This window comes from Homo sapiens, chromosome 11, assembly GCF_000001405.40.
Source record: "Homo sapiens chromosome 11, GRCh38.p14 Primary Assembly".
NCBI lineage: Eukaryota > Metazoa > Chordata > Mammalia > Primates > Hominidae > Homo > Homo sapiens.
The window spans coordinates 14,766,774-14,784,199 of NC_000011.10; the positions used below are offsets into that span (position 1 = coordinate 14,766,774).

Sequence of the window (17,426 nt, forward strand, 5' to 3'; positions counted from 1 at the left end):
ACTGATTTCATCACATATTTCCCAGTCTATATCATAGTTTACAAAACAAATATTAAGTAGGAAAAAAAATCATGTTTTGTAGTATGAATTTTTCAGAGGTAAACACAAAAACTTGTCTGCTATTCTTCCTCAAGTGTATTACACATATACCAAGAGCTGATTTGGCTTTGCACTTCAGTGCATTTATCAAGCAGTAAAGTAAAATATCTGGTTTTTCTTTCAGCATAATATTTATCGTTTGTGTGGCTGAGAGTTTTATAAATCTCTCAGCAATAGTCTATCTTTTTTATATGCTTTTGCTAGGAGGAGCACAGAATCTGAATGGTGCCTGTGTAGTTTTTGTCTCTTTTAGGAACAAAAATCTTCAGTTTCATATATGAAAGCATTTTGTGCTTGTTCTAGAAAGATTCTGTTCATTTACCAAAGAGGTTTTTATGTTTTGTTTGAAAACTTTCCATAGCTTCATGTCATTATTTGATAAAGTTTCAAAGTAGACAACATCCAGAAGAATATAGGGTAAATGAATTACCAGTCAGAAAGAAATCCAGCTTTTAGATAGTTGCTATTGTATGTGCTAGTAAAATTTTTGTTTTTATCTCTTTGTGTGGTATTATCACATGCACAGATTTATATTGTTTGCATTAGAGTCCTATTCTTGATTTAGGTTCAACATTTATTCCGAGCTATTTATGTTACCCTATTTTTATCAATATCTTAGGCTTTAAAAACCAATTTTGAGCCATTTATTTATTGATTGGGGAGTATAATGCAACACAATGAAAATAATGCAAATTTAAAAGATATAAATAATATTCAAATGATGTGAAAATACTTCAGGTAAGATGATTTGTTCTCTTTTAGAATAATGCAGGTCTTAGAGAACCTTTTCAGCTTTTAAGAATATAAGTTTTTAAGATAATAATGAGATTTCTGCGGAAATCAAAATTAACCTTATAGTTCACAATTATGAAATATATGCAAACTAAGTTGTTTCCTTTTTCCCTCTAAATATTCTGGGACAATGAGGAACAACTAGTGATTGACAGATCATAATTTGATAAATAATGGCTAATATTCTATTACAATTTCCTAGTTTAAAATTTTATGTTTTTAAAAATATCATATATATATTTTTTTCGTGTATACATATATGTAATCTAATACTACGGAGACACTTAGCAGTATTTTCATTAAGTATTTGCTCTTTGCATATTTCTCACTTTATTCTGTCATTAGTTCTCCCACTGTTCAGGATCATTCCTATCAAGTACAAGCATGCTTTAGAACCTACCATGTTAAAAAAAAAAGTATTATTCCCACATTTTTTTCTGATGATTGCTTCATTTCATTCTTGCCTTTACAGCACAGTTTTTCAAAAGAGTTTTCTCTAGTCACTTTGTCTACTTCCTTACCTTCCTAAATTCATCTTAACTTTTACTAAAGCTGAACAAATATTTATGAAATATGTGTAAAGTACAGAGACTAAAGAAACAGACACCATCAACCCACCATTACTGGTGTTTTTGAACATTACCATTAACATTGAAGTTCCCTGTATGTCACTCCTGGATCTGGTTCACTTCTTTTTCTTTTAGAGATAATCACCATCCTGAATTTCTTTACAGTTTACCATAAGTATTTCTAATAAGCATATCGCAATGTGTATTTCATGTTAAATGAGTGAAGGTATACTGTATGTATCTGTCTGTGACTTGTTTTTCTTGTTCAACATTATGTTTCTGAGATCCATCCATATACGATGTAGCTGTATGTACTTCATTCATTTTCACTCCTATACTCCATTGTATGAATACATCAAAATTTTTCTATTTTATTGTTGATGAACATTTGGGTTGTATCTAGTTTTTTGCTACCCTAAGCTGCACAGCTATGTGCATTCTTCCTGTCTCCTTCTGTCAAACTGTAGCAAAGGACCAAGCTTTTGGGTTTTTCCCTGATCTGTTGTGGATTGATGCTTTTGTAAAATACACTAAAAATGTCTCACCATTGTCAAATTGCTATAAAAATATATAAACCTTTACTCTGAATTTCTGTATTTATCTTATTATGGACCACACTTTGAATACTGCTCTAAGATGTGTACCTAGCTGTGGAATTCCTGGGTCATTCATCTTCTATTACTTATGGAGAAAATTGTTTTCTCAAAATCACTAATGTGCTACTTGCTCAAATTACGCAGAAGGCAGTCTGCTAGCTCTTTGTGGCTTTCTGTGTATCTGCTTTCAATTCCTAATATGAAGGGGATTTCACAGTAAGACCTGCTGCTTTAGGGTAACATAGTTTTCATCCTAGAGAAAGTGACTGCAAATAAGATTGGGCTTTGCTTAAGAATTGATTCAAAGCCAATCTAGCAAGCACAAGTGAGAGAAAACTATGATAATGGGATAAAGGGCCAGGAAGAGTGAATTTATTGAGGGAGATGGTCTGTAATATTGTAATACTACAATATTGTAATGTACAATATTGAGGGAGATGGTCTGCAATATTGTAAAAATATAATATTGAAATATTGTAATACAAAATGCTACAGTAGAGAGATCTAAAGAGAGCAAGCAGAGAAAAAAGAAGCATTGTACATAGTAAGATTTTTAGAGACCTTTAAGAGTCCAGTTAAAATAGGGCATACATTCCTTCTCATATTAGCAGCCTTCCTTCTGCATAGGCAGCCTTTAATTGTCTAAATGCATTAGAGAACTTTCACAAAATATAAGCTAAGATGAGATTGCTCTTATAAGCAAGCAGCAGGACTACTTTTTATCAGTGTTTCTCCACCGTATTTTGATTACAACTCCGAATCCAGGGATATATATATATATATATTTATATTGTATATACATATGTAAAATATATGTACATATATTAAATATTATATATACATATATTATATATATGTTTCCATAATCATCTCCCCCTTCATGTAATTTTCATACCAAAGATGTACAGTATATCTGTTTGTATACTGTAGCCTTTGGAGGGCTACGAACCATTTTAATTTTCAAGATTTTTTTTTTTTTTTTGCCCCAAGAACCAGCTACCACTTGCTTGGAAGTGATAGCACCACTGTTGAGAGTATATCACATGAATACAAACATGGCTCTTGGCATTAGAGTACAAATATTTAAAAAGGTAATGTTTATTTAATCATGTAGGTCAATGAAGTGGGGAAGGCAGACTACTCAATGTTAAGAAACCATCCTAATGAAAAGTATACTTGAGTTAGCCAGAAATCAACTTCTACTTAGAGTTGTGAGTCAGGGAAATAAGGTATACAAGTATTTGTCTCTGTTTGATGGTATTATTGTGGGAAAAGTGTAGAAATGTGGATCAGATGATAGTACAGTTAAAAAAGTTAGCAGACCAAGAATGCCAATTAGTTCATTGATGCCTATCTCATAGGTGATTTTTAGTGATATATCGTATGGCTCTGTTTTCACTCCTGTCTATTCTAGACATCTATTCGTGAACTTAAGAAAACATCAGATTTATAGATGTTATGATAATGGGAGGAATGGAGAATAGGGTAGTTGACATTCTCAATCTCCAAAGAAGCTGACAGGCTAAAATAAGGGCAGAAGTAAAGTATTGCAGTTGGGTCTAAAAAGCCATATTTATAAGAATAGCATGGAGGAAAATGGATCATAACAATATCATGTATAAAAGAAACTTAGGGATTTTAGGTTATGTTAATCTTAAGGAGCATTTTAGGAAGCTATTAACATCTTAATTTGCAATAATTAGTGTCTCTTGAATCTAGATTATATGCTGATTAAATCACAACCTGAAATAATTATATCAGGACCACATTTAGGACCATATAAAATACTGCTTAAATTTAATGAGTCTGTTATATATATGGTATACTTTGCATGCAGTTATATCAGAGCCATTTTGTGGGCACTGGTTCACAAGTCTTCTGAGTGATTGTACTGTGTCTGAATTTTCTTTGGGAAGAAATAGATTTTTCCTCAGTGGTAAGAAAGAAATTACGTTCTGCAAGGATATTGATGAGGAGATGGTGATAATGATAATTGACAGTTTTTTGAGTGATTAAACATGGGTGTATTATGTAAAATATGAGTCAGCAAACTGTAGTCCACTGACCAAATGCTGCCAGCAGACTGTTTTTGTATCACCTTTGAGCTAATAATTTTTTTTGCATTTTAAAGGGTTATAAAACAAAAACAAAAAGCAAAGAATATGCCATAGAGACCTTATGTAGCCAGCAAAGCACCAAATAAGATCTTTTGCAACCAGAAAACTTAAGCCTGAAGGACAAAAAACAACACAAATAGTTCAATATATAGAAATTATGAGATTATATTACAGATTAACTGGGCTCATATTCAATACAGGTTCAAAGCTATGTACAAAATGGCTATTAGAATGAATTATTTAAGCAAAAGAAGACCTATTTAACTCAGTAAATGTCAAAGAAATTTAGGATTGATGATAGGTAGCAGTTATAGCTTCCTAAATTAAAGTTAATTTTATCTCCTTGGGCATAGTGACTACTATATTGGGTTGGGAAGCAGCCAAAAAGCTTGTTAGGAAGAAGGGCAGGAAAAAAACTAGTCTGGGACTAAAGTTACCATTGATAAGCTAGGCTATCAAGGAGACAGACAGGAAAACAATCACTAATTATGTGCATATCAAAAGGGGTATGTGCTGCTTTTGATAAGTCTATTCTTTTATACTTAATCTAACCCCAAGGACAACAAGCTTTTCAAAATGTTTTTGACAGAAGTACCTTATTGGTAGGAAAATAGCATCACCCATCACCCATGATGAGCCTTTGGAGATGGTGGGTAGGCAGAGAATATCTGATGATATGTAATTTTTCTTTTATTTTTTGTGACTTAATGTGATTATGGATTTATATTTTCCTTTTTGTGGTAGTATTTGAAGGTTAATATGGCTTGTTTTAGTTACTTTATTGTGATAATTCTTTATTCTTTTGATTTCTCAATTATAGATTATATTAATGAAATATTCTGTCGAGATAATTTTTATTTTCACCATTCCAATATCTCTTCCAGATTTTGAGCTATATTAGATAATTATAATTGAAAATGCTGAATTTTGTCTTTACATATACTTTTTTGTTTATTTTTGGTTTGTAACCAAGTGAATTTTTTTTTCTAGATGATTCTTTGGGATTGGGACTTAAAACAATGGTATAAGCCTCATTATCAAGTAAGTATAATTAATATCTGTGATGAATATCTAAATAATATCTGTGATCACTAAATAATATCTGTGATGCAACTTTTGACACTTAAAGTTACACTCACAATATTTCTGTGCCATAAGATTTTCTTTAACTAAACTAATAAGTTAACTAGAACCTTCATTGAGGTAGATTTTTTAAAAATATATTTTAATTATAAGGGAAAAAGAAAATGATAAAAACAAAATTTATATAAATTGTTATGAAAAATATTGCTAATATAATCTGGGCTCAGAATCAACTAATATTTCTATATTAAGGATAAGATTTTTTTCTTTTCTGATGTGGACCACTGTTCTATAAAGGGGAAAAAATAGATGGAAGGCCATATCTGAGACAAAGCAAAGCAGTTGGCAACATATTTTATTAGGGAAGTAAAGATATCCAACTTTCATTTTTTGGTAAACTTTTTATCAAATTATAACATACATGCAGGAAAGTGTACAGCTCAATTTTCAGAAGTTAAACATCCCATGTAACTGGTACTGATATGAAGAAATAGAATGTTTCCAGTATCTCAGAAGCCTCACATATGCCCAATTCCAGTCATTACCTATATCCCCAAAGATAAATCCTATCCGACTTCTAATAACTAGTTTTGCTAATTTTTGAACTTTATATATACACAAATGGAATAATATGTGTACTTTTTTAGGATTAATTTTTTGAACACCTAAGTAATATATGTTTATATCAGATAAAATGAAAATAGAAGTATTTAATATAAGGAGAAAAAAGGAAAATCACTCATAAAACATCAAGCAATAACTGTGTTAACTTTTGATGTCTATCTTTATTGATCTTTCCCATTATGCTAAATTTACTTAATAATTCTAATAGCTTATTTGAAGATTCTTTGAGTCTTGACGTACACAAAAATGTTATCTATGAATAAAGACAGATTTATTTATTTATTTCAAAACCTATGCCTTTTATTTCTTTTTCTCATGTTATTGTACTTTCTAGGACCTTCAACGCAGTGTTGAATGGAAGTGGTATGAGTAGGCAGCCTTGTTTTTCTTCATGAACTCAGGGAAAAAATGTTCAACATATCACCACTAATGTTTTTTGTAGATACCCTTTAGCAGATTAAGGAAGTTTTATTCTAATTCTAGTTTACTAAGGACTTTTTTTCTCTTAAGTTATGAGTGGGTATATAATTTTATCAGATGCTTTTTCTGCATCTATTCAAATGATTCGAGATTTTTTTCTAATTATTCTACTAATGTGGTGAATTACATTGTTTATGTTTGTTAAACCATCCCTGTATTCCCAGAATAAAGTAAATTTGATCAAGATGTATTTTGTTTAAATATTTATCACTAGATTCTATTTGTTAATGTTTTGTTTAGAAATTTTGAATTTGTGTTTATGAGAGAGTGTTGGCCTATAAATTCTTACTTTTCATAATGTTCTTGGCATTATATTGGTATCACGGTTACCAAGAACCTTGATATCAAGATAAAATAAGGTGAGATATTTACCCTTTCTATTACCTCGAAAAGTTTGGGTAAGATTAAAAATTGGTATTATTTCCTCCTTTAATGTTTGGAAGAATGCTCTGGTGAAGCTATCTCACCTTGAAGAATTATTTTGTGGTCAAATTTTAAGTTATGGATTCAATTTCTTTAATAGTTTTAGTATCATTTAGATTTTCCATCTTTTCTTCTAACAATTGAGTTACTTGTGTTTTTCTAGGAATTCCTTTTTTTGTTGTTGTTCCTTCTGGCATTTGTGAGACTGCTGAAAGCCCTATTTTAATTTCAAAATAGAAATCTTTTTGAGGATTTCTACTTGGTTTATCTCTCTCTTAGCCACTGTTTATAAATTGGCAAATACCTTTAGAGGAAAAGCAGGTCTGAATTTAAGCTCACTACTTTGTTTTTCTCATCACTTTGGGATCTTGTTTGGCACCCCCTGTCTTCATAGCTCTGAACTCCAATTTCGGTCTCCCAGCCCCTTGGGACTATAGATCTCTACTCTGTTTTCTGGCCTCTTTTGTGCTTCTCATCCTCTCTGCTCTGTGCCAGTTATGAATCAGCAGAAAATTCCTAGAGGGAAAAGAGTAGCACAGAATGTTGGATTTCTTTTAATCTTTTCTCTTAATTCTGGGTTCTTGGCCTTTTATGCCCTGGCTGTTTGGTTGTGTTTTGATGCCTTGAAATGTATGCTATTTATATTTTATTTCAGCTTTTCTAGTTGTTCTAGACAGAAGAGTTGGTCTGATACAAACCAGTCCCTCTTAGCTGGAAAATTAGGCAAGCCTCTTAAGACACTCTGAACCTATTCCCTCACCTACAAATTGAGAATAATACCAGTTCCCTCAAAGGGCTAATTAATATGTGCCTGGTACTTAATACAAATGTGGGCCAATATTATATAAATTTCAATAGTAATAAATACTAATCTGAACTTGAAGTATAAGACAGGAATGAGCATTTTTTTCTTTAAAAGGCCAGAGAGTAAGTATTTTAGCATTTGCTGGAAACATATGACCATTGCTACCTTTTGCCGTCCCCAGTGCTTCTCATTGCCTCCTTTGTCCTCTTCTCCCTCCCACTCCTCTTCTTTTTCAATAACCATTTAAAACATAAAAACTATTCTTAACTTTCTGTTCAACAATCAAGATTTTGCTAAATATAAGTGAATGGAAAATAGGAATTTAAGTTCAGCTTTTAAAATTGTGGCAAATAATTTGAATATTCAATTTGATCTGCCATAAGTTATCATGTCACTCTCTTGCTCATTTCTCTCGTTTCACCCAGTGTAAAAGTCTTTGTCATGTACGTAAAAGAACTTACACAACATGGTTCCCTCCCTTACTCTCTTGTACTTCTCTGTCTTTGTCTTCTACTACTTTCTCCTTCATTTACTCTGTTCCAGCTGCACTGGCCTCCTTGTTATTCCCCAAACAAGTCAGACAGGCTTCTGACTCAGGTCTTTGCACTTGCTAGTCTCTCTGCCTGGGATGCTTATTTCCCACACTTTGTCATGTCTTTACATAAGCATTTCCTTCTTAGTGAGGCATACCCCAACTATCCTCTCTAAAATTGCATTGCGTTCTATCACATCTTTTTCCCTTAACTTACTTTATTTTCTCTTTTTAGCAGCTTGTTCAAAATCTATTATATACGACCCTTTATTACTCATATTACTTAGCTTGGAATCCAGTGTTCTCAAAAATTTGGTCCCAACATGTCTTTCCAACCTGTTTTTCATTGCTTTCTTATATAATCTGTACTTCAACAATTTCATATTCCCTGTATAGCATTATTTTACCACTTAAAAATTGTATTTTACCACTTTTATACTTTTATTTATGCTGTGTCCATTTTGTGCAGTACACTTCCCCAATACATTTTTGTTTTGTTTTATTGTAAACAAATATAAATATAATCCTACCAAATTTTTAGGGCCCAGCTCAAATGCTACCCCTTCCATAAAATTTCTGTTACCATCCAAATGGAAGGTTTCTATATCTCTTTTGAACGCTAATGCCATTTTGTCTGTATATATAATTTTTTTCTTTTTTTGAGACGAAGTTTCTCTCTTGTTGCCCAGGCTGGAGTGCAGTGGCATGATCTCGGCTCACCGCAACCTCCAGCTCCCTGGTTCAAGCGATTCTCCTGCCTCAGCCTCCGGAGTAGCTGGGATTACAGGCATGTGCCACCACACCTGGCTAATTTTGTATTTTTAGTAGAGATGGGATTTCTCCATGTTGGTCAGGCTGGTCTTGAACTCCCGACCTCAGGTGATCTGCCCACCTCGGCCTCCCAAAGTGCTGGGATTACAGGGGTAAGAGACCACACTTGGCCATTTTGTCTGTATTTTTATCTCTTCACTTTCTGTTAATAATAACAGTACTATCTTTGCCTTTAGTTATATATACTATACTTTATATGCTCTGCATGTGTTACCATATGTAACTCTCTCTTTTCCTCCTTGCTAAGTACAGTTATTAAGTCTGGAAATAATGTAAGAGGCAATCAAGTGAGAACTACAAAAAATAGAAAGAGGAAGGCAGACTGGCTAGGGACCCTAGTACAGGAAAAACAACACAGTGACAGAGTCTCTTATGACCCACACCCAACAGCAAACCTGGTCTAGGCCCCCACTCTCAACCTAGCAACATAAGGTGACACAGGTAGGCTTATTCTTTCCCCAGATTAAACAAGAGCCCTGCCAACACTAGGCAAGTCTGGTGGCTCTAGCAAGGGGGAATTGATTTGGAACCACTGGCAATCAGTGACCAGGGAGAAGCATTCTCCTTCCCTCCTGGGCATGAGACTCCCCTTCCCCACTGACAGACACTGGGTGGCCAGTGTGCCTGGCAAGGGGGATGTCCTCACAAATGCCTAGCCCAGAAAGTGATCTTTGTTCCTGTCACCTGGAGACTCCTTTCTCTCCCCTAAAGGTACCAGATGACCCAACCTGAGGAAGCTCTCTTTCCCCCTACTGTAAGGCACCAGTGTGGACTGTGGACTAGTGGGAACCCAACGGGCACCAAATGCTAGATGACGAGTTAGTGGGTGCAGCGCACCAGCATGGCACATGTATACATATGTAACTAACCTGCACAATGTGCACATGTACCCTAAAACTTAAAGTATAATTAAAAAATAATAATAATAATAGTAATAATAAAAAAAAAAGAAAAAAAAATTCAGACACACCTAAATGATTGTGAATGCTTTGAAAATTGTCATCCAAACCACAGCCCACAAAAGTAGGCCAGGACCTGTGTGATAAACCTAAATGGGGATATGCCTTCTAATGGCAAAGATTTCTGTAGGACCCAGAGTCTTGTAAGTTATAGTGAAAATATTGAGGATAAAATAAAAAATCACCCATCATACCAAAACCAAGAAAATCACAACTTGAATAAGAAAAAGGAATGACAACACTAAGATGAATCAGATTTGGAATTATCTGGCAAGGATTTTTAAAGCAAACATCATAAAAATGCTCTAACAAATAATTACAAAGTATCTTGAAACAAATGGAAAAAGAAAGAAAATATTAGCAAAAGAAATATAAATTATAAAGAAGAAACAAATGGAAAGTATAGAGCTGAAAAATACAATAATAGAAATTTAAAATTACTGGATGGGATGAATAACAGTGGAGATGACAGTAGGATAGAATCTGTGAGCTTAAGCATAGATCAATAGAATTTAGCCAATTTTACAACATAGAGGAAACAGAAACAAAATCAGCAAGCCTTAGGGACCTATTGGGAAGTAACAAAGAACCAACATTTGTATTGCTCGTGTTTGAGAAGGAGAAAGGGGGTGGCATTGAAAGAGTATCTGAAGAAGTAATGGCTGAAAACTTCCCAGATTTAGCCAAAAACTTAATCCTACAGATTCAAGAAGCTTTCTGAACCCCAAATAGTATCAACCCCCTCAAAATCTACTCTCAGACATGTCATAATTAAACTTATGAAAGCTAAAGACAAAGAAAATATCTTAAAAAGCATCCAGAGAGAAACAACACATAACCTATAGGGGAACACCAATTCAAGTAATAGCAGATTTCTCATTTAAAACCATGAAGCCCAGAAGGAAGTGGCAGAACACTTTTGAAGAGGTGGAAGAAAATGGCTGTAAAGTCTATATCCAGCAAAAGTATTCTTTAAGAATGAAGGGGAGGAGGTTCCAAGATGGCTGAATAGGAACAGCTCCAGTCTACAGCTCCCAGCATGAGTGATGCAGAAGATGGGTGATTTCTGCATTTCCAAATGAGGTACTGGGTTCATCTCTCTGGGGCTTGTCAGACATGGATGCAGGACAGTAGGTGCAACCCATGGACTGTGAGCCAAAGCAGGGTGAGGCATCACCTCACCTGGGAAGCGCAAGGGGTCGGGGAATTCTTTTTCCTAGCCAAGGGAAGCCATGACAGACGGCACCTGGAAAATCGGGCAACTCCCACTGCGCTTTTCCACCTAATACTGCGCTTTTCCAACGGTCTTAGCAAACGGCACACCAGGAGATTATGTCCTGTGCCTGGCTCGGGGGGTTCCACACCCACGGAACCTCGCTCATTGCTAGCACAGCAGTCTAAGATGGAACTGCAAAGCAGCAGCGAGGCTGGGGGAGGGGTGCCCACCATTGCTGAGGCTTGAGTAGGTAAACAAAGCAGCCCTGAAGCTCAAAATGGGTGGAGCCCACCACAGCTCAAGGAGTCCTGCCGGCCTCTGTAGACTCCACCTCTGGGGGCAGGGCATAGCTGAACGAAAGGCAGCAAAAACTTCTGCAGACTTAAATGTCCCTGTCTGACAGCGTTGAAGAGAGGAGTGGTTCTCCCAGCACGGAGTTTGAGATCTAAGAATGGACAGACTGCCTCCTCAAGAGGGTCCCTGACCCCCGAGTAGCCTAACTGGGAGGCATCTCCCAGTAGGGGCTGACTGACGCCTCATACGGCCGGGCGCCCCTCTGAGACGAAGCTTCCAGAGGAACGATCAGGCAGCAACATTTGCCTTTCTGCAATATTTGCAGTTCTGCAGTCTGCACTGGTGATATCCAGGCAAAGAGTGTCTGGAGTGGACCTCCAGCAAACTCCAACAGACCTGCAGCTGAGGTTCCTGACTGTTAGAAGGAAAACTAACAAACAGAAAGAACATTCACACCAGAACCCCGTCTGACGTCACCATCATCAAAGACCAAAGGTAGATAAAACCACAAAGATGGGGAGAAACCAGAGCAGAAAAGCTGAAAATTCTAAAAATCAGAGTGCCCCTTCTCCTCCAAAGGAACGCAGCTCCTCGCCAGCAATGGAACAAAGCTGGACGGAGAATGACTTTGACGAGTTGAGAGAAGAAGGCTTCAGATGATTGGTAATAACAAACTTCTGTGAGCTGAAGGAGAATGTTCGAACCCATCGCAAAGAAGCCAAAAACCTTGAAAAAAGATTAGACGAATGGCTAACTAAAATAAACAGTGTATAGAAGACTTTAAATGACCTGTTGGAGCTGAACACCATGGCATGAGAACTGCGTGACACATGCACAAGCTTCAGTAGCCGATTCGATCAAGTAGAAGAAAGGGTGTCAGTGATTGAAGATCAGATGAATGAAATGAAGCGAGAAGAGAAATTTAGAGAAAAAAGAAAGAAATGAGCAAAGCCTCCAAGAAATATGGGACTATATGAAAAGACCAAATCTACGTCTGATGGGTGTACCTGAAAGTGACGGGGAGAATGGAACCAAGTTGGAAAACACTCTTCAGGATATTATCCAGGAGAACTTCCCCAACCTAGCAAGGAAGGCCAACATTCAAATTCAGGAAATACAGAGAACACCACAAAGATACTCCTCGAGAAGAGCAACTCCAAAACACATAATTGTCAGATTCACCAAAGTTGAAATAAAGGAAAAAATGTTAAGGGCAGCCAGAGAGAAAGGTCGGGTTACCCACAAAGGGAAGCCCATCAGACTAACAGCGGATCTCTCGGCAGAAACTCTACAAGCCAGGAGAGAGTGGGGTCCAATATTCAGTACTCTTCAACAAAAGAATTTTCAACCCAGAATTTCATATCCATCCCAACTAAGCTTCATAAGTGAAGGAGAAATAAAATCCTTTACAGACAAGCAAATGCTGAGAGATTTTGTCACCACCAGGCCTGCCTTACAAGAGCTCCTGAAGGAAGCACTAAACATGGAAAGGAACAACTGCTACCAGCCACTGCAAAAACATGCCAAATTGTAAAGACCATCGATGCTAGGAAGAAACTGCACCAAGTAACAAGCAAAATAACCAGCTAACATCATAATGACAGGATCAAATTCACACATAACAATATTAACCTTAAATGTAAATGGATTAAATGCTCCAATTAAAAGACACAGACTGGCAAATTGGATAGAGTAAAGACCCATCAGTGTGCTGTATTCAGGAGACCCATCTCACGTGCAGAGACACGCATAGGCTCAAAATAAAGGGATGGAGGAAGATCTACCAAGCAAATGGAAAAAAAAAAAAAAAGCAGGGGTTGCAATCCTAGTCTCTGATAAAACAGACTTTAAACCAACAAAGATCAGAAGAGACAAGGCCATTATATAATGGTAAAGGGATCAATTCAACAAGAAGAGCTAACTATCCTAAATATATATGCACCCAATATAGGAGCACCCAGATTCATAAAGCAAGTCCTTAGAGACCTACAAAGAGACTTAGACTCCCACACAATAATAATGGGAGACTTTAACACCCCACTGTCAACATTAGACAGATCAGTGAGACAGAAAGTTCACAAGGATATCCAAGAAGTTAACTCAGCTCTGCACCAAGCGAACCTAATAGACATCTACAGAACACTCCACCCCAAATCAACAGAATATACATTCTTCTCAGCACCACATTGCACTTATTCCAAAATTGACCACATAGTTGGAAGTAAAGCACTCCTCAGCAAATGTAAAAGAACAGAAATTATAACAAACTGTCTCTCAGACCACAGTGCAGTCAAACTGGAACTCAGGATTAAGAAACTCACTAAAAACCACTCAAGTACATGGAAACTGAACAACCTGCTCCTGAGTGACTAATGGGTAAATAACAAAATGAAGGCAGAAATAAAGATGGTCTGTGAAACCAACGAGAACAAAGACACAACATACCAGAATCTCTGGGACACATTTAAAGTAGTGTGTAGAGGGAAATTTATAGCACTAAATGCCCACAAGAGAAAGCAGGAAAGATCTAAAATTGACACCCTAATATCACAATTAAAAGAACAAGAGAAGCAAGAGCAAACACATTCAAAAGCTAGCAGAAGGCAAGAAATAACTAAGATCAGAGCAGAACTGAAGGAGATAGAGACACAAAAAACCCTTCAAAAAATCAATGAATCCAGGAGCTGGTTTTCTGAGAAGATCAACAAAATTGATAGACTGCTAGCAAGACTAATAAAGAAGAAAAGAGAAGAATCAAATAGACGTAATGAAAAATGATAAAGGGGATATCACCACCAATCCTACAGAGATACAAACTACCATCTGAGAATACTGTAAACACCCCTAAGCAAATAAACTAGAAAATCTAGAAGAAATGGATAAATTCCTCGACACATACACCCTCCCAAGACTAAACAGGAAGAAGTTGAATTTCTGAATAGACTAATAACAGGCTGTGAAATTGAGGCAATAATTAAGAGCCTACCAACCAAAAAAAGTCCAGGACCAGACGGAGTCACAGCTGAATTCTACCAGAGGTACAAAGAGGAGCTGGTACTGTTCCTTCTGAAACTATTCCAATCAATAGAAAAAGAGGGAATCCTCCCTAACTGATTTTATGAGGCCAGCAGCATCCTGATACCAAAGCCTGCCAGAGACACAACAAAAAATAATTTTAGACCAGTATCCCTGATGAACATCGATGCAAAAATCCTGAATAAAATACTGGCAAACCGAATCCAGCAGCACATCAAAAAGCTTATCCACCATGATCAAGTGCGCTTCATCCCTGGGATGCAAGGCTGGTTCAACATACACAAATCAATAAATGTAATCCATGATATAAAGAGAACCAAAGACAAAAACCACATGATTATCTCAATAGATGCAGAAAAGGCCTTTGACAAAATTCAGCAGCCCTTCATGCTAAAAACTCTCAATAAATTAGGTATTGATGGGATGTATCTCAAAATAATAAGAGCTATGTATGACAAACCCACAGCCAATATCATACTGAATGGGCAAAAACTGGAAGCATTCCCTTTGAAAAACAGCACAAGACAGGGGTGCCTCTCTCTCACCACTCCTGTTCAACATAGTGTTGGAAGTTCTGGTCAGGGCAGTCAGGCAGGAGAAAGAAATAAAAGGTATTCAGTTAGGAAAAGAGGAAGTCAAATTGTCCCTGTTTGCAGATGACATGATTGTATATCTAGAAAACCCCATCATGTCAGCCCCAAATCTCCTTAAGCTGATAAGCAACTTCAGCAAAGTCTCAGGATACAAAAGCAATGTGCAGAAATCACAAGCATTCTTATACACCATTAACAGACAAACAGCCAAATCATGAGTGAACTCCCATTCATGATGGCTTCAAAGAGAATAAAATACCTAGGAATCCAACTTGTGAGGGATGTGAAGGACCTCTTCAAGGAGAACTACAAACCACTGCTCAACGAAGTAAAAGAGGACACAAACAAGTGACAATACTGCCCAAAGTCATTTATAGATTCAATGCCATCCCCAACAAGCTAGCATTGACTTTCTTCACAGAATTGGAAAAAACTACTTGAAAGTTCATGTGGAACCAAAAAAGAGCCCACATTGCCAAGACAATCCTAAGCCAAAAGAACAAAGCTGGAGGCATCATGCTATCTGACTTCAAACTATACTGCAAGCCTACAGTAACCAAAACAGCATGGTACTGGTACCAAAACAGAGATATAGACCAATGGAACAGAACAGAGTCCTCAGAAATAGTACCACACATCCACAACCATCCAGTCTTTGACAAACCTGATAAAAACAAGAAATAGGGAAAGGATTGCCTATTTAATAAATGGTATTGAGAAAACTGGCTAGCCATATGTAGAAAGCTTTAACTGGATCCCTTACTTACACCTTATACAAAAATTAATTCAAGATGGATTAAAGACTTAAACGTTAGACCTAAAACCGTAAAAACCCTAGAAGAAAACCTAGGCAATACCATTCAAGACATAGGCATGGGCAAGGACTTCATGGCTAAAACACCAAAAGCAATGGCAACAAAAGCCAAAGTTGACAAATGGGATCTAATTAAACTAAAGAGCTTCTGCACAGCAAAAGAAACTACCATCAGAATGAACAGGCAACCTACAGAATGGGAGAAAATTTTCGCACTCTATCCATCTGACAAAAGGGCTAATATCCAGAATCTACAAGGAACTTAAACAAATTTACAAGAAAAAAATCAAACAACCCCATCAAAAAGTGAGCAAAGGATATGAACAGACACTTCTCGAAAGAAGACATTTATGCAGCCAACAGACACTTGAATGCTCATCATCACTGGCCATCAGAGAAATGCAAATCAAAACCACAATGAGATACCATCTCACACCAGTTAGAATGGTGATCATTAAAAAGTCAGGGAACAACAGGTGCTGGAGAGGATGTAGAGAAATAGGAACACTTTTACACTGTTGGTGGGACTGTAAACTAGTTCAACCATTGTGGAAGACAGTATGGTGATTGCTGAAGGATCTGGAACTAGAAATACCATTTGACCCAGCCATCCCATTACTGGGTATATACCCAAAGGATGATAAATCATGCTGCTATAAAGACACATGCACATGTATGTTTATTGCGGCACTATTCACAATAGCAAAGACTTGGAACCAACCCAGATGTCCATCAGTGATAGACTGGATTAAGAAAAAGTGGTACATATACACCATGGAATACTATGCAGCCATAAAAATGGATGAGTTCATGTCCTTTGTAGGGACATGGATGAAGCTGGAAACCATCATTCTGAGCAAGCTATCGCAAGGACAGAAAACCAAACACCGCATGTTCTTACTCATAGGTGGGAATTGGATAGTGAGAACACTTGGACACAGGAAGGGGAACATCACACACCGGGGCTTGTAGTGGGGTGGGGGAGTGGGGAGGGATAGCTAGCATTGGGAGATATACCTGATGTAAATGAGGAGTTGATGGGTGCAGCACACCAGCATGGCACATGTATACATATGTAACAAACCTGCACATTGTGCACATGTACCCTAGAACACAAAATATAATAATAAAAAAAAAGAATGAAGGGGAAAACATTGTGAAATGAAGGAAAACAAAAGAATCTGTCAGTAAGAGATTTACCTTGCAAGAAAGACAAAAGGAAGTTCTTTAAACCAGGCGTCACCAACCAGTACCGGTCTGTGGCCTGTTAGGAACTGGGCCACATAGCCGGAGATGAGCAGTGGGCAGATGAGCATTACCACCTGAGCTCTGCCTCTTGTCAGATCAGCCACCACATTAGATTCTCATAGGAGCACAAATCCTATGGTGAACTGCACATGCAAGGGATTTGGGGTTGTACGCTCCTTATGAGAATCTAAGGCCTGATGATCTGTGGTGAACAGTTTCATTCTGAAACCATCTCCTCGCACCCCTACCCAGTCTGTGGAAAAATTGTGTTCCACGAAACCTGTCCCTGATGCCAAAAAGGTTAGGGAACCCCTG

General features: G+C 36.8%; 1 protein-coding gene across 11 annotated transcripts in view, besides 1 other annotated feature; it reads left to right on the forward strand.

The window, feature by feature from the left end:
• PDE3B (phosphodiesterase 3B) overlaps window positions 1–17,426 on the forward strand; it is a 255,518-nt gene that overhangs the window by 122,970 nt on the left and 115,122 nt on the right. For 10 of the 11 annotated variants that reach the window (NR_190763.1, NR_190764.1, NR_190766.1 and 7 more), the window contains one exon: window positions 5,164–5,214. Coding sequence is in view for 7 of the 11 variants with exons in the window: in NM_001429700.1 (NP_001416629.1) it covers window positions 5,164–5,214 (51 nt within the window). In the remaining 4 variants the exon portion in view is untranslated. Of the gene's footprint in view, window positions 1–5,163; window positions 5,215–8,809; window positions 9,044–17,426 lie in introns of all 11 variants that reach the window. The other variant, NM_001363570.2, reaches the window with a different exon arrangement.
• Window positions 10,869–11,369: an enhancer, noted in NCBI's record as "H3K4me1 hESC enhancer chr11:14799188-14799688 (GRCh37/hg19 assembly coordinates)". NCBI's record gives its function as "activates a minimal SCP1, AML or CMV promoter by ChIP-STARR-seq in primed H9 embryonic stem cells {active_cell/tissue: H9 hESC(primed)}" and the evidence as "EXISTENCE:reporter gene assay evidence [ECO:0000049][PMID:30033119]".